The sequence below is a fragment of the Homo sapiens genome, chromosome 2 (genome assembly GCF_000001405.40).
Source record: "Homo sapiens chromosome 2, GRCh38.p14 Primary Assembly".
Taxonomy (NCBI): Eukaryota; Metazoa; Chordata; class Mammalia; order Primates; family Hominidae; genus Homo; species Homo sapiens.
The window spans coordinates 236,757,692-236,782,504 of NC_000002.12; the positions used below are offsets into that span (position 1 = coordinate 236,757,692).

At 45.5% G+C, this 24,813-nt stretch overlaps 1 long non-coding RNA gene across 4 annotated transcripts, besides 2 other annotated features; it reads left to right on the plus strand.

The window, feature by feature from the left end:
- Nucleotides 1-11,460: 11,460 nt before the first annotated feature.
- Nucleotides 11,461-23,702, plus strand: LOC105373949 (uncharacterized). Of its 4 annotated transcripts, XR_924026.3 has the most exons (5): nucleotides 11,461-11,604; nucleotides 16,643-16,938; nucleotides 19,219-19,333; nucleotides 19,709-20,194; nucleotides 22,595-23,702. It is a non-coding gene; the product is annotated as an uncharacterized LOC105373949 (long non-coding RNA). The 4 variants fall into 4 exon arrangements; XR_007088139.1 differs by lacking the exon at nucleotides 19,219-19,333 and having other exon boundaries at nucleotides 19,706-20,194; XR_924024.3 differs by lacking the exon at nucleotides 11,461-11,604 and having other exon boundaries at nucleotides 16,832-16,938; nucleotides 19,706-20,194; nucleotides 22,595-23,076.
- Nucleotides 16,206-16,706: an enhancer, noted in NCBI's record as "H3K4me1 hESC enhancer chr2:237682540-237683040 (GRCh37/hg19 assembly coordinates)". NCBI's record gives its function as "activates a minimal SCP1, AML or CMV promoter by ChIP-STARR-seq in primed H9 embryonic stem cells {active_cell/tissue: H9 hESC(primed)}" and the evidence as "EXISTENCE:reporter gene assay evidence [ECO:0000049][PMID:30033119]".
- Nucleotides 16,707-17,207: an enhancer, noted in NCBI's record as "H3K4me1 hESC enhancer chr2:237683041-237683541 (GRCh37/hg19 assembly coordinates)". NCBI's record gives its function as "activates a minimal SCP1, AML or CMV promoter by ChIP-STARR-seq in primed H9 embryonic stem cells {active_cell/tissue: H9 hESC(primed)}" and the evidence as "EXISTENCE:reporter gene assay evidence [ECO:0000049][PMID:30033119]".
- Nucleotides 23,703-24,813: the final 1,111 nt, after the last annotated feature.

Consider the following 24,813-nt stretch of genomic DNA (forward strand, 5'->3'; position numbering starts at 1 on the left):
TATTTATAATCCTATGCATTGTGTTTGAAAAGTAATATGAGTTAACTTACAAAGATACACACATATAGCAGAATACCATAATAGGAAAAAGTAGGATAAATAAGGAAATTGAAGTGAGAGCAAATGAAAGGGTACTAAGAGGAAGAAAAGTGAGCACTCAAAGTCCCAGGAATTTCTAGAGACAAGCCCAGACTGGGCTCAGAGGTTCTGAAGCCGAAAATGCTCTAAGGTCAAATACATTTGGGAAATACTGCTTACCTATCCCAACTTTGGAGATTTGCTGTGCACACTGGCATGCTAAGGGCTCTGGGCTTCTTTGTAGTAAAGAATCTACTTTACTTGCTTTCCACCTCTCTCTCTTGCTCTCTCTCTTTCACACACACACACACACACACACGATGCTTGTTTTTCTGCTGTTTCAATAGTGGGACACATTGGATATACTGTTGTCAAATCTGCTTTCTCCACTCAATATATAACATAAACATTTTTCCAAGCCATTAAATATTTTTCTCAAACATCTTCCTTAATAGCTATATGAGTATTCCATTTCATTGTTATATCATAATTTATGTCCCCAAATCCTACTACAGTGTGTGTAGGTTGGTTCTCATTTTTTTTAACCTATAAATAACTCCGGATGAACAGTTTAAAGCTAAATCTTTGAAGACGTTTGTGATTATATCCTCAGGATATATCTTTCATGGTGGCATTTCTGGGTCAAAAGATATATGGATTTTGAGTTTTTGGATACATATTGTTGAATGTTTACAATAATTAGAGCTTATTCTTTTACACTTTATTTTGAAATAATTTTAACCAGACAGAGAAGTTACAAGAACAGCACTTGGAACTTTGTCCCTGAACCATTGGAGAGGATGTTGCGCCATGTGCCCTATCACCCATTAGTACTTTACTATGTTTTTTCTGCAAACAAGGCCATTGTCCTGTACAACCATAGCACAGCCACCGAAGTCAGGAAATTAAAGTTGATACATTACTATTCTTTGATTCCTGTATTTCTTTAAAGTTTTACCAGTTGTCCCAATAATGTCCTTTAGATCAAAATGATTCCACCTAGGATTATGGGTTACATTTGTCCTCTCTTTTAGTTTAATTCCAGAACAACTTCCTAACCTTTCCTTGACTTTCATGAACTTGACACCTGTGGCGGTTGCAGGATAGTTATGATGTGATGTGGCCCTTAGTTTTGGTTTGTGTGATGCTTCTTCATGATTAGATTCCATCATTCATATTTGGCAGAAGATCATAGCTGCAATGCTGGGCTCTCCTCAGTTCATCCCACCAGGTGCCCAATGATTTCAATTCATCCAATTATTGGTGGTGTTGACATTGATCCCTTGGTTAAGCTGGTGTGTGCCAACCTTCTCTAATTTATTTCCATTTGTAATTGATAAGTATTTTGGGAGGATATATGTAAATATACTCTCCCTCTTCAAATACTTTTTTTTTTTTTTGAGACAGGGTCTCACTCTGTCTCCCAGGCTGGAGCGCAGTGGTGTGATCTCAGCTCACCGTAGTCTTGTCCTCCTGGGCTCGGGTGATCCTCCTGCCTCAGCCTTCCAGGAAGGTGGGATTACGGGCATGCATCACCACACCAGGCTAATTTTTTGCCTTTTTTTGTAGAGATGGAGGTCTCATGATGTTGCCCTGGCTAGTCTCTAAAGCCTGGGCTCAAGCCATCCGCCCACCTCTGCCTCCCAATATGCTGGGATTACAAGTGTGAGCCATTGTGCCCAGGCTGAACTTTTTGCCTACTAGTTTTAGCACCCACTGATTTGGGGAAATGAATTAATCATTACTATGTCAGTTGACAAAAATTGTGATTTTCTACTTCTACCATACCTTCCACGCTTATTAGTTGTCTTTAGAGTCTAAGAAAAAATGTTTTATTTTCCCTATTTATTTATTCATCATTCTATTTCATTCAGTGGGTCATAATTTACTGTATCATTACTTATTTTAATGCTCAACTTGTTCTGTATTTGGCCTGCAAAAGCGCTTTCTACCTGGCTTCTAGATGAGATTACCAGTCCTGAAGTCAGTCATTTCTCCAAGTGGCTGTGGTTCGTTTCAGTAGAGAACAGTAATTAGACACCACCATTTGGGTGCTAAAAGTGTTCATGGCCATCATGGTGTAGCTGCTGTTATGTCCCGTTAGTGGGCAGAGCTAGATCCAACATGTATGTGAGTTCATGATGATACTTCAATTCCAATTCAACACTGCATGGTCGGCCTGGACTGCTTTCCCATATTTGTAACTCCATTATCCTATTCTCATCAATAAGTTTGCTTGTATTCTTCTACTTATGTAACCAGTCCCTTGATTCCGTGCCTGGCTGCCCCATTCCCCTCCTGGTTTGACTCCTCACCCAGCTCCAGCTGTAGCCCCAGGATGAGTGGCACTGCCATCACCACCACTGCTCTTTCTCACACACAGCCTGGGATCCCGCCTCTCTTGACTCCACCGCTATTGGGGTTCCACCTCTCTTGACTCTATCTGGTGGCTGTTCCCATGAAAGTTTCAGGAAGGAGGAAGGAAGAAAGGGAAGGAGGGAGGAAGGAAGGAATAAAGGAAAGAAGGAGGGAAGGAAGGAATAAAGGAAAGAAGGAGGGAAGGAAGGAAGGAGGGAGGGAGGGAGGGAGAGGAGGGAGGAAGGAAGGAAGAAAAGAAAAGAAAGAAGGAAGGGAAGAAGGAAGGCTGGAAGGAGGGCAGGAAGGAAAGAAAGAAGGAAGGAAGGATGGGAAGAAGGAAGGAAGGAGGGAAAGATGGAAGGAAGGTAGGAAGGAAGCAAGGAAGGAAGGAAGGAGGGAAAGATGGAAGGAAGGAAGAAAGGAAGGAAGGAAGGAGGGGAAGGAGAGAGGGAGAGAGAGAAGAAGAGTTGGCTGTGATTACTCCAAATGAGTGTCATCATGTCAACTGGGAAAAGGGGACAATAATTTTTATTGTATTTTTTGCTCATCGGCACTTCAAATTTCTTTCTTGAATAAATATACATTAATTATGAAGTAGGAAAAATTACTTAATTTTGAAATATGAGTAAGATGCAACTTAAAAGAAAAAATGTGTTGTTAAGGTGTAAGAAAAGTGATATTACAAGTTCAATTCTGATATCCATACCTGAGAAAATAAAGCCTAGAAAAAAATCTCATTTATTAAATGATTTTAAAACAGAATAAAATTTGTAGGCCACAACTACAGAAGACTCAGCATGACAAAGGAACAAAATATAGTTAATATATTTTATTTATAATATATTAAAATTGTGGTTTTACTCTGGGAAGGTACAGTTAATTCCACATCAAGTGATCTATTCATAGAACTCACCTAGTTTAGAAGCTAAGGAGAAAAGCCATATGATTATCCTAAGTAATGGCAAGAAGGCTTTTGGTAAAGCTGGAAATGTAATTATTTCCAAAGCTTATGGTAAATTGAATAGAAAAATACTTCCCTTGTGTGATAATTAGTATCTACCCAAAATCCATACCTAGCATTAGTGAGGATACTTACAGTATATTGTCTACAAAACCAGGAACACATCTACATGTCCACTGTATAGAGGACAACCCACCTTGTTCTGAACATTTTTGAAACCTTAATGAAAAGCACAGCACAACACGGTCAATGGGCAGAATGTGGCATCTACCCTACCACGTTCCTTCACAGTCAACTCCCCTCCATATTCCCAGCCACTGACAATCATGGATGTGCTTTCTGGACCTACACACTTGCCTTTTCCAGGATGTCACAGAGATGGAATCAGGCAGTCTGTGTTCTGTTGGGTCTGGCTTCTTTCACTGTGCCTAATGCTTTTGAGATTCATTGATGATTTTGCACGTATCAGCAGTTAATTCCTCTTTACTGCTGAGTAGTGTGGCACTGTGTGGTTATATCACAGTTTGCTTATCTATTCCCCAGTTTAGGGACTTTAGGGTTGTTTTGAATTTTTGACAATTATGACTACAGTTGTTATGAGCATTTGTGTGTAGGTTTTTGCAAGGACGTATGTTTTCATTTCTTGTGGGTGAATATTGAGCAGTGGGATTGGTTGATCGTATGATGTCTGTGTTTAATTTGTTAAAAACTGCATTTGTTTTTCTCGATTTGTGTTCTCTCTTATTTTTCTCACCTTGATTTTACCTGCCCCTATTGTCCCTTCACATTGATCTTTTGACTTTAAAAAATTCCCTTCATCGTTTTCACCCCTGGCTGCTCATCAGAATCATCTCTATGATGTAAAACCTTCACTACAGATGCCAGGGATGTTTAGCTGGTCTGAGGAGGGAAGGACTTTTCTCTGTATTTTAAAAATTCTTCATGTGTCACTCAGGTTATCAATCAAGGCTGAGAACTCCTATCTGAAGCATATAATTTAGAGGTGCAGAGGGTGAATAGGAGAAACACTAAAGATGCTAAACAAAACAAAATCTAGGGCAGGTGGAGGGATGAAGCATACTTGCAATGTGCCTTTCATCTCTCAGAAGAGAAGGAAGTGCCAAGGCCTACCAGGCATGGGTGATGAGCTTGGACACAGATGTGTAAGTATATTGTTCAGTGCTGTAATGACAGCCCCAGGAAGAACTCAAACGGAAATGCTTACAGAGGTTGTCTCTGCACTGTGGGGTGGGGAGCAGGGGGAATGGAGGAATAACTTTTTCTCTTCATTTAACATCTTCCTGTACTGAGTGAAATATTTTTACCATGTCCATGCATTACTTTTATCATATTTTGGAATATGAGTTTGAATAAAAGATAAATTGCTGGTGTGAAGTGTGTGTTTGAAGGCATATTGGCAGTGGTAGTGGTTGGTGAAACATTTGTAGGAATGAATTCCAGCCTGGAGTGTTGGGAAGAGATGGAATCCAGGATCCAGAGAGAGAGGCCGGCTTTAGAGACGGTGGAAATCTGTCCTGGGTGGAAGGATGATGTGGGTGAGGGTCCTATGTGTGGAGGGTTGGTGAAGGCACTGGTGTCTGGTGGCTGCTCTCAACTCCTTTCATTCACGGAGGGTGTGGTGGATTGGTGATTTATGGAGAAGAGGCTTGTTGTCAGGGGTGGAGCAACTTTCGTGGAGACAGAGAGTGATGAGTGACTGCCCTGGGCAGTAGCAATAAAGTTGACCAGAATCCTGGATTCCGGGATGGCTGGGTCCCTGCCTAATGACGTCACCTGCTGAGACATAGGATGATGACTCCACAAAACCCCCATCACTGTAGCTCCCCAACATCCTGGAGGCCTGAGATAAAAGCAGGGGAGGATGCGTTTCATATTTTTTTAAATCATAATCATATAAGGGTTCAGATGTAGGATTGGAAGGGCAGGCCCCATTTGTCCCTTTAAGGTCTTCCCTCCCTTCTGGCCCCAAGAGTATGAGGGGAAGTCACTGGGATGCTGCCGACTGTCCCCAGGACACCTGGCATTGTCCCTGTGCTCCCTGGGTTCATGCTGACATTGTGGTGGGTAGGTGCCAATGTGCAGAGCCCACAAGGCAGCACCTCCTCACATTTCACACCCTCAGGGCCTCACATGCCTCAGCAAAGTGAGCCCCTCATCAATATCACGGCAATTCTAACTAGGAGACGCCACAGAGATGGCAAAGTTTATTCTTTTCTTTTTCATCTTCTAAACATAACTGTGGTTTCAATTTGGGAATAAGCGAATAAAGGTTTGTTTTGCGTCAGGAGATTTAATTTTTTTGCCCCTTAACTATCTTTCTTCTTGCTTTCCATGTGTTTCGAATATCTGCAGTAAATAGAATACAGTACTTGTAAGTCTTGAGAAACACATTGAAAACAGTTTACCTCACTGGACATTTGTAAAGAAAATTCAGCAAAGTGGTTTGCTGCCTTCTGGATGTGGTTGTGCACTGTTCCCACAAGGACAAGATTCCCAAGTTCTTGGCCACATTTTTAAGAGAAAAGCCTTAATTTCACAGGGAGCAGGTGATAGAAAATTTTCGTGTGCATTTTTCACAGAATAAAGCAAATGAAAGCCAGCATGTGAATCCCATTTGCTAAGTGTATCCTGACACAATCAGCTGATTTTTATGCATCAGAGCACCTAAAACTCCATCAATTTTTCTAAATTTTCATATGCATGTCAGTAAAGCTTAACAGTAAAAAAGAGTATAATTTTAAGAGTTTCTGATTTTTAATGATTTTACATAGTGTTCTTTGTCTTACTCTGCCTGTCCCTTCTGTTGGAAAAATTGGGTCTCATCACTCACTGGGTGAGATGACAGCCCAGGCAGGCTGCACAAATCACTCCACTAGCGGCAGCCCCGGAGCTCCTAATGGTGTTGGAAAATGTGTGTGCCTCGTGCACCCTTCTTTAGAAAATATGAATTTAGCGATGTGGTCATTGGTGTTTCTTCTTAAATTTCAGATGCAGTGTCCTAGCATCTATCATGTACAATAAATAACATGGGTGGACTCTTTGCAAACCACATATGGTTTCCACGTGCAGCATTTGTCTTCTCAGAAGCGGGATGACAACAGACCACACTTTGTCAGGCTTTGGGCCTAGCAAAGGTGCTTAAGGGGCAGAGTTTTCCCTTTAACTGCATAAGCCTTCCATTTGCCTTCTCTGATCTGAAGTAGCAGACTTAGGGCACATAGGTTACAGGGAGCTGACTTTTGCTGTGCAATTCCTGTGCCCCTGGATGTCAGATACTCAGGTGGCACATGCCCTGCTCAACCCAAAAGCTCGAGCAACATAACAGCTGAGTGGCTGCAACATAACAGCTATCTATTCCCCAGTTTAGGGACTTCGGGGTTGCTTTGAATTGTTCGAATTTAGGGTTGCTGAGTGAATTGCAGCAAGCAACAGATGCTGCAGTGTGTGTACGTGTCCATCTGTGATGTTGGAAAGGTGGGGATGGTTGATGTTGGTCATATCGGCACCCCTTTCCCATGCGATCTCCCAGATTATTCCAGACCTTGTTCAGGGACCTCCAGATGTTCCTGACAGGTGCCTTTCAGACACCTTAAGCCTCTGCTTTCCTTCTCTGCTTCTCCATTTCCCTCTGCAATGAGGCTAGGAAATCCATAAAAAATGCCTGCTCTTACCTCCAGGGTTATGTTGCTAAGTGACTCTGCCCTCCAAGTCACAAGAGCCAATTCCCAGGGCTTGGCCCATCTCCCTTACTCCTGCACCTTTTCCCTTGCCATCCCTGCCATAGCAGCTCCCAGGCACAAAGCTGGAGCAAAGGCGTGGGATGCCTTCGTGCATAAACTTGCCAGTTTCCTTTTCCCTGTTCATGTTGAAACTGGCAAGTTTATGCACCCAGGTGTTAGTGGAGGTGTTCTCTGTTTTGTTTGTTTGTTTGTTTTGGTCTTTGTTATTTTCAAAAGGAGACAGGAGACCACAAGCTTCCTGGCCAGCTAGGCAGAGAGGTCTCAGGCCTGGGCTGAACTCTCTGCACACAGCCATAGGATCTAGATACCTGGCCCTACAAGGTGTAGCCCTCAGCTGGCTGTGTGCAGACCCTCTCTCTGTACCTGCAACCTCCTAACCCCACCATGAAAAAGCCTCGTGCTGGAGAGATTGTGGTAGTGGGTACATCTGTACCTGCTAGTATGTGATTGAAGATGCATGCTGAGAAAATCAACTGGGAAAGACCCTCTTCCTAAAGTTTTCTTTCCAGAAAAACACCCTCAGGTGCTTGAGAGCCAGTTCCAGAAGTGATCATGATGCTGCACATACTCTCTAGTGGGCCTTTATTGCCAAAAAGTGACAGGCAGCTCATTGAGTGTCCAGCTTAAAGCGTCTAGAGATGTTGGCTGAGCTGGCCCTCAACGTTGGCTCTTTCTGGCTTTGGAAGTGCAGACGCTCTTGCCTGTGCCCTTTGTCTGTTTTATGGTTCCATTAAGTACATGATGGCTGATTTTATGAGCATAGCCTAAGATGACAGCACTGGGCTCTGCAAAGGCATTTCTTTAACTTCCTGAGGAGCCTTTATTCTCTGACAACCAAAGCCATTTGATCCCACCCTGCCCCCCAGCTCTGGGCTCTTAATCCCTCTTGTTTACAGTGAGTTTAATCTCTGTCATATTTCCCATTTAGCTGGACAAATCCCACCCTCCCTGGACTGAGCCATGTGACCACATCAGTTGGGTCCAGTGACAGGGGTTTTAAATGTGTCTATCTCTTGAAAGAACAAACAATCTTCAAAGCCTTAAACCCACTCCCATAAATAGTCTTTGAAGGGCATTTAAAGGCAAAACTTGATAAACAGGATCAGAGAACGGAGTGATGAGGACCACCCTAGCATAGAATAAACCAGGTTTTGAAATAAAAAATTAGTCAACTTTTCTATTCAATGTGTGTCTTATGAAAAGACTAAGACCAGTTTTATAACAGTTTTGCACTTAAAAAAGCAAGAGAAACTTGACCCATGTGGTTCACAGGTAAATATTAGGCTCACAGTACTCTGCCCCAGTGTGGGACTATCCAGACACGTGGGTGTTTGGGGCTGCCATTCAGGGACTCAGGACCATCAAGGCAGGTTAGTAAATAAACACTGCCAAGAATACTAGGCATCACTTTTGATGTTAGAAGCCCTCTGTCCATCTTAAGGCGGTATCATAGCAGCTGGGCTTCTTTTCTCCTGTGAACACTGGTAATTGGTTCATGGAACAAAGGAATATCAGAGACCTCCTTAACAACATGCTACAAAGCCCAGCAAAGAAGAGGGAGGGAAACAGAGATCGTAAACACAGCAATTACCCTTGGATGGATTAGTGACTCCTTTTGTTTCTTGGTACAAAAGCAAAACTGTTCTTACATTCGTTACTTGAATTTAACCCACCAAAATTTTTGAAAATTGTAGTAAAATACACGTAACTCAAAATTTGCCATTTTAATCATTTTTAAGTGTCCAGTTCAGTGGCATTAGCACATACATATTATTGAGCCAGCGTCACCACCATTTATCTCCAGAACATTTTCATCTTCCCATTCTGTACCCATTTCATCTTCCTCCCCACTCTGTACCTATTCTCCCTCCCCCAGCCCTTAGAACCCACCATTCGACTTTCTGTCTCTATGAATTTGACTATTTTAGGTACCTCCTGTAACAGGAATCATACATTATTTGTCCTTTTGTGACTGGCATATTTAGCAACATGGCTTTGAGATCCATCCATATTGTGGCATGTATCAAAATTTTCTTTATTTTTAAGGAAGAAAAGAATATAGACCACATTTTATTTATCTATTCATCCACTGATGGACACTTGGGTTGCTTCTGCTTATTGGCTGCTGTGAACATGGGTGTATCAATATCTGTTGGAGTTTCTGCTTTACTTCTTGTGTGCATATACCTAGGAGCGGAATTGCTGGGTCATATAGTCATCTCATTTTTAATTTTTTGGGGAATAGGCATACTGTTTTCCACACTGCACCATTTTATAATCCCACAGTAGTACAAAAGAAATGTTTTCCAGTTTCTCCACAGCCTTGCCAGCACTTGCTATTTTCTGTGTTTTTAATTGATAATAGTCATCACAATGAGTGTGCGGTGGTAATTCATTGTTGTTTTGCCTTGCATTTCTCTAATGATTAAGGGTGTTGAGCACCCTTTTGTATGCTTATTGTCCATTTGTATTTCTTCCTTGGATAAACACTCACTCAGGTCCTTTGCCTAGTTTTAAATTGAGGTTGTTTTTCTTGTTCTTGAGCCGTAGGAATTCTTCATATATTCTGGATATCAATCCCTATCAGATATATGATTTGAAAACATTCTCTCCCATTCAGTGGGCTGCTTTGTCACTCTGTTAATAGTGTCCTTTGATGCAGAAAGTTTTAAATTTTGGCAACCCACCAAGCTTTAATTGACATGTTCAGCACTCTGCTGGGTGCTGTGTACAACACAAGAAAGTTACAGGGTGGGGTTAATGAAACCGGGACCTGGATCCCTGGCCACACCAGGGAGGGGAAGCAGGGAGAGTGGTGTGAGAAATTAGGCCTCTTGGGTCAATAGAGGAAACCTGGTGCACAAATCCTGGATTATTTTTGTAATTGTGTGCTTGTGGGCTGCCTCCCTGTCTAGGCTGGGAGGCAGGACTCCCTTTGCCATCTTGAAAGCCTGGTGCCTGTCACTGGGTGCTTCTCCAGCTCTAATCAAGGAATGCACCATGGAGCACAGTGTCACATGACTAGACGACCATGGCATATGAAAGCAGTGGGCCCATGGGTCCATGACCTTGTGTCCGTGTCTGCACTGGCCATTAACCCCAGGGCCTCTTGCTGTGACGTGCCCTTGGAGGCTGTGAGATCTTCATACAGAAATTAGAAGCCCTGGAGGTCATGGGTTACACATCAAAGAATCCCTGGGTCAGGGGAAACCTGAATCACTGCATTAAGTAATTCCTTCCAGACACCCACGGCCCTTCCTGCCTTCCTCCTTTTAGACTCCAACTCTTGAGGTTGACCTATGGGCCCGTCCCATCCCAGCCTCTGGCCTGAGCCTGCTGGTGTCGGCCAACGTGAAGTTCAGCTTTGGAGTTAAACTTGCTGTCTTTGAGGTCACTGGCCCACCCAGGACTCAGCCACATTTCGGCACCAGCTCTGAGGTTTAGGGCGAATTTTCTGTCCCTCTTTCTGGCTGGTGCTCCCTGGGTGAGCTCCTAGATGATGCCAGGCTCAGGGCTGAGTGTCTTCATTTCAGAACCTCCACTCTTTCTTTGCCTCCCCAGGGGCATGGTGTCTGCTGACAATACAAAAATGCTTCCAATTCCAGATTTGCACCTTAACACAGAAACCTTTTCTCTTGGTATGGCACCGCATTGTGGAAAAATGGATTTGGCCCAAATACCTCTCTGACCCACACAGGTTTTCTCCACATTGTGGCAGGAATGAGGCACATAATCAGGAGCAGGCAGTGGTCACGTGGTGGGCTGGGAATGTCACCCAAGTGCCCCAGCTTCCCCAGGCTTCGATGATGACCTCTGTCTGCCTTAGAACCAAGTGACCAGAGTCAGGCCACTGATCAGCAGGACACAAGGCAGTGCAGTCCTCTCCCAGGGTGTCTCTCCCAGTGGAAGCCATGATGTTCTCTGCACCCAGGCAATGCAGGCTGCCTTCATCCCCCACCATCCCAGCCCTTCCTTCTGTGAGAGGCCCTGGCCTTTCTCTCTCCATGACTCCATGCTTTCTGTGCCAAATATTGGCTCTCTCAAGGCCTTATTATTCCCCTACCCCCTAGCATGAGAAATAGCTGTGGTTTTCAAAATATTTTTTTTTGTCCCAGATGAGCAGATGCCAGCAGAGCTCTAGATGGCGGGGGCAGAAGGAGGAGATTCCTGGAGAGGAAGGAGCCAAGGGGAATAGGGAGGGGCTTCCAGGAGCATCTGCAATAAGATGCTAGGTCCAGGGAGGGGCAGTGGGGTGGTTGGAGGGGAGATAAGGCTAAAAAGGGGGATCTGAAGTCTAGAATTGTCCTGTGGGTAAAGAAAAGTTCCTGCAGGAGGGACATGGGGCAGGGGGGCTTCATCAGGAAGTGCTGAGGGACAGGAAATCAGACAGAGATGGCAGCTGGGCATCCAGATGTCTGGCCCCAAGGCTCAGACAAGGGCAGCTAGGTAAGTGTTGGAGTCATCATGACTCGATGGGATCCATTCCATGGGACCATGGGTGCTATGAGAGCGGGAGGGAAAGGGTCTTACCTTCATATCTCCTATCCCAGCACAATGGCTTGGGATAAAACAAATGGCCACAATGAGATCCTGGGCCCAGGTTGGGGCACAGGATGAAGGGCAGAGTAGGACGGGCAGGGTGGAGGAAGGATCTCCAGGACCAGCGAAGGAGGTGAGCTCAAGGTGCTCACCATGGATGGTTCAAAAAGCAGTGTTCCCTGGCAGGTGGGCACTGACCTACCTGGTGCCCACTCCTAGGAGAACTGGGAGCAGACAGGGAGGCATCTAGAAACTTTAGGATGCAGTCTTCCCTCTGGTGACATTCGGGAACCAGCTCCGTGGAAGGTAATTAAAAATGGCCATCAGGTGTTTATGCTGAGCAAATCGAGGAACAGCTGGGGGGTGCCCAGCACCTTCCCCTGGGTGGGTTTATTGCAGATGCTCTCCCAGGGCAATGGGCAGGGGTGAGGTCACAAAATCGGAGATACCATCCTCCTCCCCCCACTGCTCATCTTCTGTGACTCTGGACAAATAAGAGCTAAAAAGATCCCCTTAGGTTGAAGGATACAAATTCCCTGCCCCTGAGTGTGTTGACCCTGGGGGTGGCTCAAACCTGATGAGCTGGGTCAGTGTGACAGGCTCCAAAGGCTGCATTCTCTCAGGGGAGAAGAATGTGAATGTGCTTGTTGCATCTGGTTTGGGCAAAATTCCTGTCTCTGTCTGCAGATGCCCTGCCTGGGTCGGGGTCTGAAAACCGCAGGTGGAGCAGACACTAGCTCATGGTGAGGCTGCATGCGGTGACTCAGGTCCCAGAGGAATCCAGGATAGCAGGCAAAAGTGTTCACAGCTCCGCCAGGCTCACCGTGAGGCTGCAGTGACTCAGAGCCCAGAGAGATCCAAGATGGTAGGTGGAAGCATGCTCAGCTCTGCCAGGCTCACAGTGAGGCTGCAGTGACTCAGGACTTAGAGGGATCCAAGATGGCAGTGCTCAGCTCCGCCAGGCTCACAGTGAGGCTGCAGTGATTCAGAGCCCAGAGGGATCCAAGATGGCAGGTGGAAGCGTGCTCAGCTCTGCCAGGCTCACAGTGAGGCTGCAGTGATTCAGAGCTCAGAGGGATCCAAGATGGCAGTGCTCAGCTCTGCCAGGCTCACAGTGAGGCTGCGGTGACTCAGGACTTAGAGGGATCCGAGGGACAGGTGGAAGCAGGCTCAGCTCTGCCAGGCTCACAGTGAGGCTGCAGTGACTCAGGACTTAGAGGGATCCAAGGGGCAGGTGGAAGCATGCACAGCTCTGCCAGGGTGGACCCAGGGCTGTGTGTGCTACCAGGGGTTCCGTTGGGAATTTACTAGCACCATATGGGGGTTCCTCAGAGAATTAAAGATAGAGCTACCATAGAATCTGGCAATCCTGCTACTGGATAAACACCTGAAAAAATGGAAACCTAGATCTTGAAGAGCTATCTGTGCCCCCATGGTCATTGCAGTCTCATTCCCAACAGCCAAGAGATGGAAACGGCCTAGATGCCCCTCCGTGGGTTAATGGAGAATGTGGTATATGCATACAATGGAATTTTGTTCAGTCTTAAAAAGGAAGGCATTCTGACACATGCCACAACATGGATGAACCTGGAGAAACATGGAAGAACCTGTGTGCTTGGTGGAATAAGCCACACACAGAAAGATATGCATTGCATGGAATCCTAAAATGAGGCAACCCCATAGAAGCAGAGAGTAGAATGGTGGTTGGCAGGGGCTGGGGGCTGGGGAAATAGGGAGATGTTAGTCAAGGGGTACAAAATTTCCCTTGTGCAAGCTAGGTTCTGCTGATCTAATGTGCAGCCTGGTGACCATAGGGAACAATATTGCATTGCACACTTGCAATTTGCTAAGAGAGTGAAAATTAATGTCTCAACACAAAAAGAGGCAACAATGTGAGGTGATGGGTCTGTCACCTGGCTTGAATGTGGTGATCATTTCACAATGTGTACATCTATCAAAACAACTAATTGTACAAATTAAATATGCACAATTTCTAGTTGTGAATTATTCCCCCAATAAAGCTAAAACAGTTAAAATAAGACACATTTCTTTCTTTCTTTTTTTCTTTTTTTGAGATGGAGTATTACTCTGTCACCCAGGCTGGAGTGTAGTGGTGCAATCTTGGCTCAGTGCCTCCACCTCCCGGGTTCAAGCAGTTATCCTGCCTCAGTCTCCCAAGTAGCTGGGATTACAGGCGCCCACCATCACGCCTGGCTAATTTTTTTGTAGTTTTAGTAGAGACAGGGTTTCACCATGTTAGCCAGGCTGGATTCGAACTTCTGACCTCAAGTGATCTGCCCACCTTGGCCTCCCAAAGTGTTAGGATTACAGGCATGAGCCACTGCGCCCTGTCTCTCTCTTTTTTTTTTTTTTTTAAGGATCTACTCCTTTCTTGTGAATCCACAATCCTGACAGCGTGTGCATTCCAGCTGCCACGGAGAAAGTGCTGGGTGCAGGGCCTGGGTTCAGATATAGAGTATTGGCCACCTCCAGGGTCCCCACTCCCTCAATACCCCTTTGGATGGGGCACCATGCCTGGAGGTGGGAGAGTGAGAGACAGGGAGGTGAGAGGGCTGGATAGCCCTCCTGGCTCTTGCCTTCTAGCAGGGGCAGCCACAGCCCTACCATGGCTGAGGGGAGCCAGCGCTCTCTGCTCTGGGAAGGGACTGCTTCCTGCCAGGTTCCCCTCTGAGAAGTGCACTTCCAAACCAAGTCCACAGGTGCCCCGAAAGAGACTATCCATGCAAGGGAGAAACAAGAAAGAGGATCTTTCCATTTCCGCTCCTCCCAGGTGGTGAGGATGTTCCAAGGCCAGCAGAAAATTTGTATTCCCCTCTGCAATGTCGGAAGCTCTGTGTCTTGCTATCTGCAATGATTTTGAGCTCTGTGAACAGAACATTTTCCTGCAAAGGGTGGGGAGCTCCTGACCCTCTGTACCCCTTTGCATCAAAGGGGACCGTCCCCTGATTCATGTGTGACTCGGGCCACCCAGTTCCATGTCCACAGACGGCATTCTGGTCACTTCCTTGCGTCGTTGTCTACGTGGAGTTCCTATCACTGCAACTTCCTTTATAATGAGTGAGATATCCTGGACGAAAGCATTGTGTGATCACGCTGCTGGGTGGCAGGTTTATTGATGTATTTCACCAACAGAAACCTTAGGATGGGATGCACTGGTCCAGCTGGTCATTTGGCTGGTGGTTGTGAAGATCCTGCCCCAGGGCTACCCCAGCACTTGGCCCTTTCAAGAACGGCTCGATTAGGACAGTGTTCCTGCCTCAGTCTTTGCTAAAGTGGCCGCCTCCTATGCATCTTTCATCACTCGTCTCAGGTGGCTGATTCTTCAGAAGCCTTTGTCCCTCCTGCTGACACTGCAACATATCTGTCCTCAGCACGACTTGGTGCTCAATTCAAACGTCTATGTCAGCACGCGAGTCCTGTGCTAGCTTCCTTGGACTGCTGTACTAAAATACTACAACTTGATGGCTTAAAGCAACAGACACTTGTTCTCTGCAGTTCTGCAGGCCAGAGCCCACAGTCAAGGTGTTGGCCGCACTCCCTCTGCAGACTCTAGGGGAGACTCCACTCCCTGTCTCTTCCAGCTGTGGGGGCTCCTGGCATTCCTTGGCTTGGGGCTGCACCTGCAATCTGCCTCATCTTCCTGGCCATCCCTGCTGTGTCTATGTGCTGTTATAAACTCTCTTTTAAGGATTTAGGGCCACCCTAATACAGGATGATAGGAGAAAGAAATCAGCTCAAACACCTCTCCACCGAGGGTGGCTGGGCTTCATCATCCCATCAGAAAAGAAGCAGGCACCTTTTCACCCAGTCGCCAGACCTTGTGTTTCTTTCTGGTGAGATTTGTACATGTTCTTTGAGCACATTTGGTGACACAGATCACCATCCAGAGATCCCCAGCCCTGTCCATGTCGGCACGGCTGGTCTCTTCCCTGGGATGGCTCCTGCCCTGGATCCACTCTAGTTCACGCTGTGCTTGATGCAGAAACCCACTCACGCCAGCTGTGCTGCCTCAGCATCTCCCAGGAGGAGACGGACACATCCCAGGGGCCTGCAGAAGGCAGGCCTCAGGAATGACAGGCCAGACATCGGAACACCTTTCACAGGCTCTCTCTGGACAGACTGGCGCTTGGCTTGGGAAGGGAAAAGAGGCCATCGATACCTCCTGGCCTTTTTTTTTCTTTTCTTTTCTTTTTTTGAGACAGAGTTTCACTCTTGTTGCCCAGGCTGGAGTGCAGTGGCACAATCTCGGCTCACTGCAAACCTCTGCCTCCCGGGTTCAAGCGATTCTCCTGCCTCAGCCTCCTGAATAGCTGGGATTACAGGCATGCTCCACCATACCCGGCTAATTTTTTTGTATTTTTAGTAGAGACTGGGTTTCTCCATGTTGGTCAGGCTGCCTCCTGGCCTTTTTAACTGTAAAGCTCTTAACGCTGACGAGGCTTGGGATCTCTTAGATCCAAACTGAAAAAATTCTGAGAGGTTTGCTGGCCTGGCTTGGGCCAAGTGTCCACCTCCTGGGGAACCAGCTGTGGCTGGGGGGCTGGAACCTGTCCTTCAATATCATGGGGATAAAAGGGGTGGGGAATGGGATGCTGTGGGGGCTGGGGCCTGGGGTGGACAGCACCGCGTACGCTTGCTCCTGGAGATGGCCACTTGGGCAGAGCTCCCTTCCTGGGGACAGAGAAGCCCACAGGCCATTCAATGCTAGTTAAAGTGTCAGGACTTGACAAGAGGCTTAGTATGAAGGAGAACACTTTCAGGGGACCAAGTCAGAGATAAGTCTGCAACCACAGCAATGGCCCTTTAGAAAGCATTTAAGAGGCCTGGTGCTTTTTGAGCTGCTTTGATGACGTGGCAATGGCTGGAGGGGAAAAGCAGCGGCACAGCTGCCTGCCATTGGCCTGGTCTTTTTCACTGTGCTCAGTGTTGTCATCACGAAGCCTCTCATGCAGCGCGATGTCAGGATGGGCCCATGCGCGGGTGGAAGGCATGTGGGGGCCATGTTGCCAGCTGCGGATGGACAGGCTTCTGATATCAGGCTGTGACAGCACTGTCATCTCCCAAGAATCCAGCATCCGTCTGCATGGATTGCATGCCATCCTTGAATCCACTCACTTGCCCAGCCCCTGAACCAACTGATGAATGTGGTGAAGTCTTCCCTTCGTCACCCCAGGTGCAGCCACAGCCTCTGCAGCCACCCTGGGGGAGAGACAGCTCCAGGTAAGCGCACCCGCCCCTGGTTACATGAATATCCGTGGTTGCGTTTCATAAATCTGGACTTTGGTGATGGGGGTGGTGAGGGGTGGAGTGGGGGTGATAAGGGGCAGAGGGGGGAGAATTGGTTCAAATTTATTTTTTTGCAATTTATGATGTTGTAGATCTACGTTCTATTGTATCAACAAATGAAGAAGATGGAATGTTCACTTCAACACTTTTCTTATTGTAGATGAAATATTTGCTCATGGAAATCATTTAGGAAATATAAAAACATGTAAAAAAGAAAATGAAAATCACTTGTAAAATCACAGTTAATCACTGTTAACATTCCAATGCATTTTCTCGGAGGTTTTATTCTTTATAGCATGGTTTAGAGCCATTTCTCAAAGCTGAAGGAACATATGCATCATCTGGGGATCTTGAGAAAATTCAGGCTCTGATTCAGAAGGTGCGAGTGGGGCAGGGTCTGGTGCTGATGCTCGGGTCCTGGAACCGCACGTTTGAATATGGAGGGTTAGAGCTGGGACTTGGGCTGCAAATGCCACTTTTACCAGGCAAGAGTGCTGACAGCAGATTATTTGACCTCTCTGAGCCTCAGTGTTCTCATATAAAATGGGGATAGTATCTACCTGTAGAAAGTTTGAAAAGAACAAATGAGGTAAACTAAGCTGAGTTTTGCCTGTTAACCTGGCATATAATGAGTGTTCCATACATTGTAACTACATTAAAATGAGCCAATTTTTCATCAGGACAATGAAGTTTGTGTATAGGGCTTAATATCCGGCTTACTTTCTCTTGACGTCATATAGTGAGCATTTTTCCAATATTAAAAATTCTCTGAAAACATAATTTTAATAGCTGTATTTTAACAACTCCCACTGTGCAGATAGGTCATAATTTATTTGAGCATTTAAGATGTGGAAATAGTTGCTTTTTTGTGTATTTTTAATAATCTAGTGAAATCCTGTTAACATAGTAGATATTTTATGAGAGTTACTGGTTAAAAATGTGTATTATACTTTCCTTTTCTGGAAAACGAGGGTTACAGGCATTTTTAGAAACAACAGCTGTAGCAACTTACAGACTCTCAGGCAGGGATTTTTTTTTTTTTTTTTTTTTAAGTTCTGAGGGTTTCTAACATCCTAAGGGCTCTTGACAAAAGTTAAAGAAAAACGGTTATATTACTCTTCCTCAAAGAACACTGCAACACAAAACCAACAAACAAAATCATTATACTTCTAACTACAGTGAGTAAAATTAGAGATCTTCAGACAAAGATGTTTCATGCCTTTGCTCCCAGTGATTGAGAAGATAACTATAGAGAAGAAAGTGAGCAAATGTGGGAATAATCCCTGACATTTTACAAAAGAATTGCAAACACTTTATGATCCTTTTGTACTTTAAGAGGTATTATTTTTGTCTATTTCATAGGCACTAACCCATTTCAAAGACATTTCATAGACACGTTATGGAATTTATTTGAACCTTTGGAATGATGTTCATTTGGAATCCTTCGTAGGCATTTTCCAAGGTTCCCATCTGAGTGGGCTCCTGGAAGCCTGCTGTGAACCAGGGCTGTGTGCGTGGTTATCCCCACAGTGGGAAGCCGGAGCTGGGTCCAGGCCGGGGTTGTGACCACTAAGGTGGGCTGCATGGCAAGGTATCCACCTTCGATGGAGCAGTTTTCATAAGACTAGGGGGTGCTTCGTTGGCAGCAGCTTTTGCCTATGGCACAGGATAAAGGTTAATTGTTTTACTATCTTTATCAAGGATTTTGAAGTGTGGTGAGCGTGAGAGACTACGTAACCAGAGTAGGGCGATGGCCTGTGGCCTCCATTCCCTTTGCCTCATAAGGGCAAGTGTAGCTGCGTGGCACTCAAACCTCTGAAAACGTTCTACTGAGATCCAGACCTTGCAGATGTGAATTAGACATTCACAAAAAGCCTCTGGTGAGAAGCTGTTATTCCCACCAAATTCTATTATTCTCTGGCTAGTAGACCCCAAAGTTCTCTCCCCAGAAAAGTGTGCAAACTACAGCTGAACCTTTTAAGTATCGTGGTCTACTCTTCCCCTGAGACCTGTCTCTCCATCATCCACCAGCCACTGGCTCTAGAAACACAGGCCTCTGGTTAAACCCTGTGTCTGCCCCACTGGAACCACTCTGCCAGGTCACCTCTCCTGGGATTTGTCATGGACTGAGCTCTATGCTTTTGGTTTTTCCTTGTGGGAATCATAAGAAAACCATGAGTCATGCCCGGTGTCTCTTGGCATATTTCTTTCTAGATTCCCGCAAGGAGCAAAGAGATTTTTGACTTTGTCTTCTTTTATTGACATTGAGGAGAAGCTTCTGACTCAGGCGAGCCTCACAATAAGCTGTTTTTCAACTTCAGTAGACCCGGTATGTGTTCATCTGCTCTGATACTGTTTTTTTTTGTTTTTTTTTTTTTTTTTAAATCAGTAATCATGTTTATCCTGGGCAGCGTTGCCAGGACAAATATTATTTCATTGGTTTTAACATCTGTTCACATGAAATCTGATATTCAAATTCACCCCGGCCTGTTCCCTGATAGTGAATATACGTTAATGTGCCCCAGGGGCAGCTCACACCCAGCGTCTGTAACCAGCACCAGTTGTTTTCACCTTTGGGGGATGTGTGCATTTCTTTTTTTATTTTCTGAAGTAATGCATGTTCATTTTAACACATTTAAATGAGACCAAAATAAAGTTACAAAGGAGTGCTTCCCCACCTTTCCTTTCTTCTCCTCCTCAGCAGGACCTGCTAAGGTGAGGTGTTCTGGAAGGGTCTCTGCTCCTAGCAGTCACTGGCAGCTTGCCCAAATTGGAGAAGTTTAACATCTCTTTTCTCTGAGAAGTAAAATGTGTTTCTTTGGTGGATGTGAAACCAACAAACCACTGTGGTGCCTCTCTACATCTGAAGGATGAGCCAGCCAAGCCAGGGGAACTGACGACCCCACACACGTCTGCACTGCTGTGGCCGTGTTGAACACGGACTCCTTCTTCAGGGCAGCCTTGGGCCATCGGAGGGCTGCTGTATGCAGTGACGGCCACCAAGTGTCCTTGGCCAGGGGAGTGATTTACAGGGACTGAGATCCTGACTTGTGACCCAGACACGAATGCATCCTTGTTCCATTTTGTTATTGCTCAACCGTCATCTGGCCATCCCCAAAGCCCACCTCTGTGAGAAAGGCCAGTGCTTGTCCTCGTGACACCCCTGAGACCTCGATGGAGCAAGTCCCAGGTAAGAAGGATCCAGGTCACTAACACACAGGGACACTTTGCTCCTGGACCTGCTGGCTGTCCCTCTAGTCATGGAAGGGTTTATGCTCACAGCAGTCCGAGACTGGAAATGTTCTTCCGTAGAGTGGGAAGTCACTTCATCCACTCAAGCTGCTGGAGGTAACTATAAGGGGCCAGGTTTTAAGAAGCTTGGCTTAAGAGCACCTTTAAAAATTATGAGTGGAAAACATGTCATGCCTAAATGAGCTGCTGGTGTCTGCCTCCATTCATGCAGAAGCTGGTCTGTGACCTTACACACATCTTCTTTTTTAGGAATTACTGTGAAGTCCAAATGGGCCCCAAAGCTGCCTGCCCCTAAGAAGGCCTTCTTATATTTACCCAGAGGTCTGTGCCTTGATTGAAAGGATAATATGAGGCAAAGGGAAGAAGCTGAAAATTTATTGGATGTTTTTAAGGAATTTATTTTATTTTAAAAATGTTTAATTGTGCTAAAATACATATGAAATGTATCATCCTAATCGTTTTAAGAGTACATTTCAGTAGTAAGTACATTCACATTTTTGTGCAATTTTCGTCAACATCTCAAGAAGTTTTTCATCTCCCCCAACTGACACTCTGTCCGCACTAAACGCTAACTTCCTACTCCCCTCTCCCTCCCCTAGTAACCACCATCCTACTTTCTGTCTCTATTTTCTGTCTCTATCACTTTGACTGCTCTAGGGACCTCCTATAAGTGGAATCATACAGTATTTGCTTTCTGTGTCTGGCTTATTTTACTTAGCACGTCTTCAAGGTTCATCCATGTCAGAGCATGTATCAGCCTCTTCTTCTTTTTAAAGGCTGAATGATATTCCATTGTATGGATAGACCACATTTTATTGTTGTTGTTGTTGTTGTTTTGTGACGGAGTCTCGCTCTGTCGCCCAGGCTGGAGTGCGGTGGCGGGATCTCCGCTCACTGCAAGCTCCGCCTCCCAGGTTCACGCCATTTTCCTGCCTCAGCCTCCCGAGTAGCTGGGACTACAGGCGCCCGCCACTACGCCTGGCTAATTTTTTGTATTTTTAGTAGAGACGGGGTTTCACCGTGTTAGCCAGGATGGTCTCAATCTCCTGACGTGATCTGCCTGCCTTGCTCTCCCAAAGTGCTGGGATTACAGGCGTGAGCCACCGCGCCGGGCCAGACCACATTTTGTTTATCCAGCCATCCACTGAGGGGCATTTGGGTTGCTTCCGTGTTTTAGCCATTGTGCGTGCTGCCGCTATGAATATTTGTGTATGAATATCTGTTGAAGTCTCTGCTTTCATTTCTTTTGGGTATAAATCCAGATGTGGAATTGCTGGATCGTATGATAATTATATGTTTAATATTTTGAGGACCTACCATTGTTTTTTCACAGTGGCTGCACCATTTTATGTTCTCACCAGGAGTGTACACAAGAGTTCCAATTTCTCCACATTCTTGTCAACTCTTATTATTTTCTGTTTTTGATAGTAGCCATCCAAAAGGGTGTGAGGTTATATCTCACTGTGGTTTTCATTTGTTCTTCCCTAATGATTTATGATGTTGTATTAGTCAGGGTTCTTTAGAGGGACGGGACTAATAGGATAGATGTATATATGAAAGGGAGTTTATTAAGGAGTATTGACTCACATGATCACAAGGTGAAGTCCCACAATAGGCTTCACCAATAGGCCGTCTGCATCAAATGGCCATCTGCAATCTGAGGAGCAAGGAAGCCAGTCCAAGTCCCAAAACCTCAAAAGTATGGAAGCTGACAGTGCAGCCTTCAGTCTGTGACCAAAGGCCCGAAAGCCCCTGGCAAACCACTGGTGTAAGTCCAAGAGTCCAAAGAACTTGGAGTCTGATATTCGAGGGCAGGAAGCTTCCAGCATAGGAGAAAGATAAAGGCCAGAAGACTCAGCCAGTTTAGTCCTTCCACATTCTTCTGCCTGCTTTATTCTAGCTGCATGGGCAGCTGATTAGATTGTGCTCACCCATACTGAGGTGGGTCTGCCTCTCCCAGTCCACTGATTCAAATGTTAATCTCCTTTGGCAATACCCTCACAGACACACCCAGGAACAATACTTTGCATCCTTCAATCCAATCAAGTTGACACTCAATATTAACCATCACAGATGTTGAGCATCTTTTCATGTGGTTATTGGCCATTTATATATCTTCTTTAGAGAAATGTCTATTCAAGTCCTTTGCCCATTTTTTGTTGTTGTTGAGTCATAACAGTTGCTTATATATTCTGGATATTAAACCCATATCAGATATGGAATTTGCAAGTATTTTTTCCCATTCTGCAGGTTGTCTTTCCACTCTGTTGACTGTGTCCTTTGACATGCAGCAGTTTTAAATTTTGATATAGTCCAATTTGCCTATTTCTTCTTTTAGGGCCCATCATACATTTTTAAAGAAAATCTTCTTTTGGTGAGAAGATCAAAGGGCCAGGCAGAAATGGAAAAGCACTTTCTGGCATCAGACTTCCTCTGACTTCTCCGGTTGCCACACCACTGAAAGACTGCCCCACAGTGCGAGGGACGTCCACATCTGCCTGGCTCTCCGAGGGATGAACAGCCTTCAGTTCAGCTTCCTGTCACACCCCAAAATCCACCAGGGCTCTGCAGTCATAGAGCCCTGGAACCCAGAGGTGGAAACTTAAAGGAATGAGTGCTCTCTCGCTCCAAAACCACAGATATCTGGTCCATAGAGAACCCACCACACTTGTATACATTTTCATACGTCTGCGCACATACACAAATGCACAAACACATGTTCAGCTGTTGATAATCATCTGATCTTTTGCTCTTTCGATGTAAATATGGCCAGATATCTCTGGCTTTAATTCTCATTAAAATTTTGAAAGTTATACTTTCTATACAATATACATCATGGATGTCCAATCTTTTGGCTTCCCTGTGCCAGATTGAAAGAAGAAGAATTGTCTTGGGGCCTGGCGTGATGGCTCATGCCTATTAATTCCAACACTTTGGGAGGCGGAGGTGGGAGGATCACCTGAGATCAGGAGTTCACGACTAGCCTGGCCAACATGGTGAAACCCCCCCATCTCTACTAAAAATATAAAAATTAGCGAAGCATGGTGGCACATGCCTGTAATCCCAGCTATGCAGGAGGCTGAGGCAGGGGAATCACTTGATCCCAGGAAGCAGAGGTTGCAGTGAGCCAAGATTGCACCATTGCATTCCAGCCTGGGCAACAGAGTGAGACCCAGTCTCAAGAAAAAAAAAAAAGAATTATCTTGGGCCACACATACACACATAAAATACACTAACACTAATGATAGCTAATGAGCTAAAAAAAATTTCAAGAATATCATAATGTTTTAAGAGTTTATGAATTTGTGTTGGGCCACATTCAAAGTCATTGTGGGCTGCATGTGGCCCGAGGGCCGCAGGTTGGACAAGCTTGATATACATATTATGTATATTATATATTTCTGTGAAAACAGAATAAATCCAAGACTGAGGATCTAATTCCAAAATTCATTTTTGTAGGCATTCTGAGACTTAACTATTTTTCTAGTCACATAATAAGGAAAGGATCCTTACAGAAATACTGAAAGCTCTTGGTTCTGCCTTTGCTGATGTTTTCTCTTTTCTCTATTCCCTCTCCCTTCACACTCGTCCTCATTCTACAGCCTCAAGCTTGTGTCATTGTTCACATCTGCTTCCCCATCTCTGGAGTCTCTGTCAAGGCTCACCCTGGATTTGAGGTAGGTTAAGTAGCCAATGAGCCCAGCTGGTCCACAGACACCAAAATTGTGTGTCCTGGATGAAGTCAGCATCTTTCCCTCGCCCTGTGCCTTTCTTGTCTGTTGGTTCCTATTTCTGTTCCTACTCACAATCTACCTCTGGGGATATCACCTGTCTTTGTTTTCCAGAGTCACCTCTGCCAGCCCAAAAGCTGCTGCTTCTAGAAAGTCACTACCATTTCTAAAAAGTTCCTTGCATCTGGTCCCCCCTCATCACCATCCCCAGCACCTCATCATTGCTGAACCACAGCCCATAGCAATCTCTTTAGTCAAGGTTGTGCTTCACCTTCCTTCTTTGAATCAATGCTCTTTGAAACAATATCCCTAGGAGTTACTTTCTTCGTGACCTCTTCCCTAGAGGACGGCCTCCTTGTCTGCCTGCGCCTGGCTTCCCTCCCACCCCTACCTTTTCCACCATCATAATCACTGCCACTACCTCACTGAGATCCTGGCGTGCAGCTCTAATTTTATCTCTGACCTGCAGAAGGTGTGTGAGAATGGACTGAGATGACCTGAGCACGGGTGAAAGGTCCGCATCAAACCCAGAAAGTCAGCCGAGATCCAGGGGCGGGTTCTCATCCTACGGCCTCTCTACATTCGTTTCTGAGACACAAAAGGACTTCACAGTGAATGTTCAAGCAAATTAGAGCACAAAAACAAAAGGGTTGTGGGCAAGCAACTGCGAAGACCACAGCTGTGTTTTGGTAAATTCCCGGGCGAGGAGGATATGCCGGGTGAGTGAGGGAGGCCAGAGAGCGACAGAGTTCTTGGGTTAACTGGAAAATTCAATTATCCAGAACCACAGTCCATCAGCAATCTGTTTAGTCAAGGTTTTGCTTCA